Consider the following 2355-nt stretch of genomic DNA (forward strand, 5'->3'; position numbering starts at 1 on the left):
TCGGAATACAGACTTCAGAAACAGACTAACATAATTCAAACTACTTTTCAAGCTACTGAGGAGATGATATGGTATTCAAAAAATTGGGTTGGGGTAATTGAATGTTAACTTTGATAATAAAAAGTGAAGTCCCTACCTCACAGAAATAATAAAAACAAGTTTTAAATTGAAGATACAAATATAAAGCAATGTTTAAGGTAATTATGAAAAATACATCTACAAACATGGAATAAATGAGGTCATCTTCAACAAGATACAAAAAATAAAATATTAAAAGAATAATTTGCCTACATAAAAATTATAACCTATTTATGTTAAAAGATGCCATTAATAGATTATTAAACCCAACAATAAAAAGGAGAAATATATTTGAAATGTATATAATAAGCAAAAAGTTAGTATACAGTATGTGAAAATAACTCCTACAAATTAATATTTTAAAGACCCACAAAAATGGGACAGAATGTAAACACACAATTCCAAGAGAGAAGACCTAAATAACCAGTAAGCATGAGAAGATATGCAGCCTCATTGGTTAGGAAAAAAATGAAAATTACAATGAGAATGAGATAGCTTTTTTAAACACAATTTGATTAGGAAAATGTAAAAAAGCATTGTAATATCCAATGCTGTTTCGCCTAAGGAAGACAAGAAACTCCCCAAAATTGCTAGTGGCAGATTGGTGTAGCTACTTCAGAGAGACATTTTGTGGCATTTGTTAAATTATTTAAAATATGTATCCTAGGCCTCATCACTTCCAGTCCTATGTGGCATTTGTTAAATTATTTAAAACATGTATCCTAGGCCTCATCACTTCCAGTCCTGGAGATTTTCTCTAAAGGACTACTCAGACAAGTCTGCAAAGAGGCATATGTAATGTATTGCAGCATGAATTAAAAGTGCTTGTTTTAAAAAAATAAGAAAAACATCAACAGAGAAATGGAAATTAATAGTATATTCATTCTATGAACTTCCAATATATCGTGAGAAAAAAGTTGCTTGAACATAAAAATGTACAGCATCTCATTTATACTTTCAAAAATCAATTCTATGTACCATTTTTGAATAGCAATATATATGCAAATATGTAAAAAGTCCTAGTAGCATACAAGTTGCTCATTGATAATAATGGTTACTTGAGGGAAGGGACTGGAAATTAAATGTGGTGGTAATCAAGTAAAACTTGATTTTATCATAATATTTGCATATTTTACAGTGAGAATTCATTCATATATTTATTATTAATTATGTAGTAAAAATAAAACTGAAAAACATCTTGGCATGTTCAGACTCAGCTGGAATGGGATTAAGAAGATATCTATATCCAGCAGTTTAGCTAGTGTGAGAGACAGAATAATGGTCCCTCAAAGATGTCTATGCCCTAATCCTTAGAACATGTAAATATGTTAATTTACGGGGCAAAAGGGACTTTGCAGATGTGTAAAATTCAGAATCTTGAGATGAGGAGAATTATCTGAGTGAGTCAAATGTAATCATAAGGGGTTCATATATGAGGGAAGCGGTAGTGTCAGAAAAGGCAATATGACAACGGAAGCAGAGATAGAGACTGGAAGAGGTTACACTGCTGGCTTTCAAGAGTCAAGGAATACAAGCACCCTCTAGAAGCTGGAAAAGACAAGGAGCCAGATTCTCCCCTAGCACCTCCAGGAAGTATTCAGCCCTGATATCCGTATCCAACTTTTGACCTTCAGCATTGTAATAGAATATATTTGTGTCTGTTTTGAACCTTTAAGTTTGTGCTAGTTTTTGCAACAGTAATAGGAAACCAATACAACCAGTTAAGATAATTTATGAGTCAGTAAATATGCAGTATGCAGACATCAACAAATAAAAGAGAATCTACTTTAACTTTTTAAATAGCTTCTATTCTATCTCATAAACAAAGATATTAATTTCAGGATACATGTAAAATTTTCTAAACAAAGACAGTACATTGAAATATGGATTAAGAGTAAATCCAGATTATTAACATCAGGAACAATTTTCATCAAAGATAGTTGTCTATAACATTTTTCTTCCTGCCAGGTAAGTTTCCAGTGATGTTATCTTGCTTCTGGTCAAGTTGTAGAGACACTTTTTAGTATTAGCTATAAATAAGCCCTCCTTCATTCTAAGATATTCTATCTTACTTGCCAGCCTGTTCATCTTTTTATCAGATATTGCTCTGAATTGAGATTTAGAACAAACATTGTACCATTTTTCCCCCAAAATTCTTCCATGGAAAGGTATTTCAGCCCCCTGGACAGGTTACAGATATACAAGGTTACACAGGACATCTGTTTCTCAGGGGAAAGGAAGTCCTCAGCACACATTGCAGGTCACCCTCAGCAATTT

The 2355-nt window shown here is 32.4% G+C and overlaps 1 annotated feature.

Annotated features, from left to right (window-relative positions):
- Positions 1548-1748: a silencer, noted in NCBI's record as "peak693 fragment used in MPRA reporter construct". NCBI's record gives its function as "represses an SCP1 promoter by STARR-seq MPRAs in K562 erythroleukemia cells {active_cell/tissue: K562}" and the evidence as "EXISTENCE:reporter gene assay evidence [ECO:0000049][PMID:32103011]".

This window comes from Homo sapiens, chromosome 1, assembly GCF_000001405.40.
Source record: "Homo sapiens chromosome 1, GRCh38.p14 Primary Assembly".
NCBI lineage: Eukaryota > Metazoa > Chordata > Mammalia > Primates > Hominidae > Homo > Homo sapiens.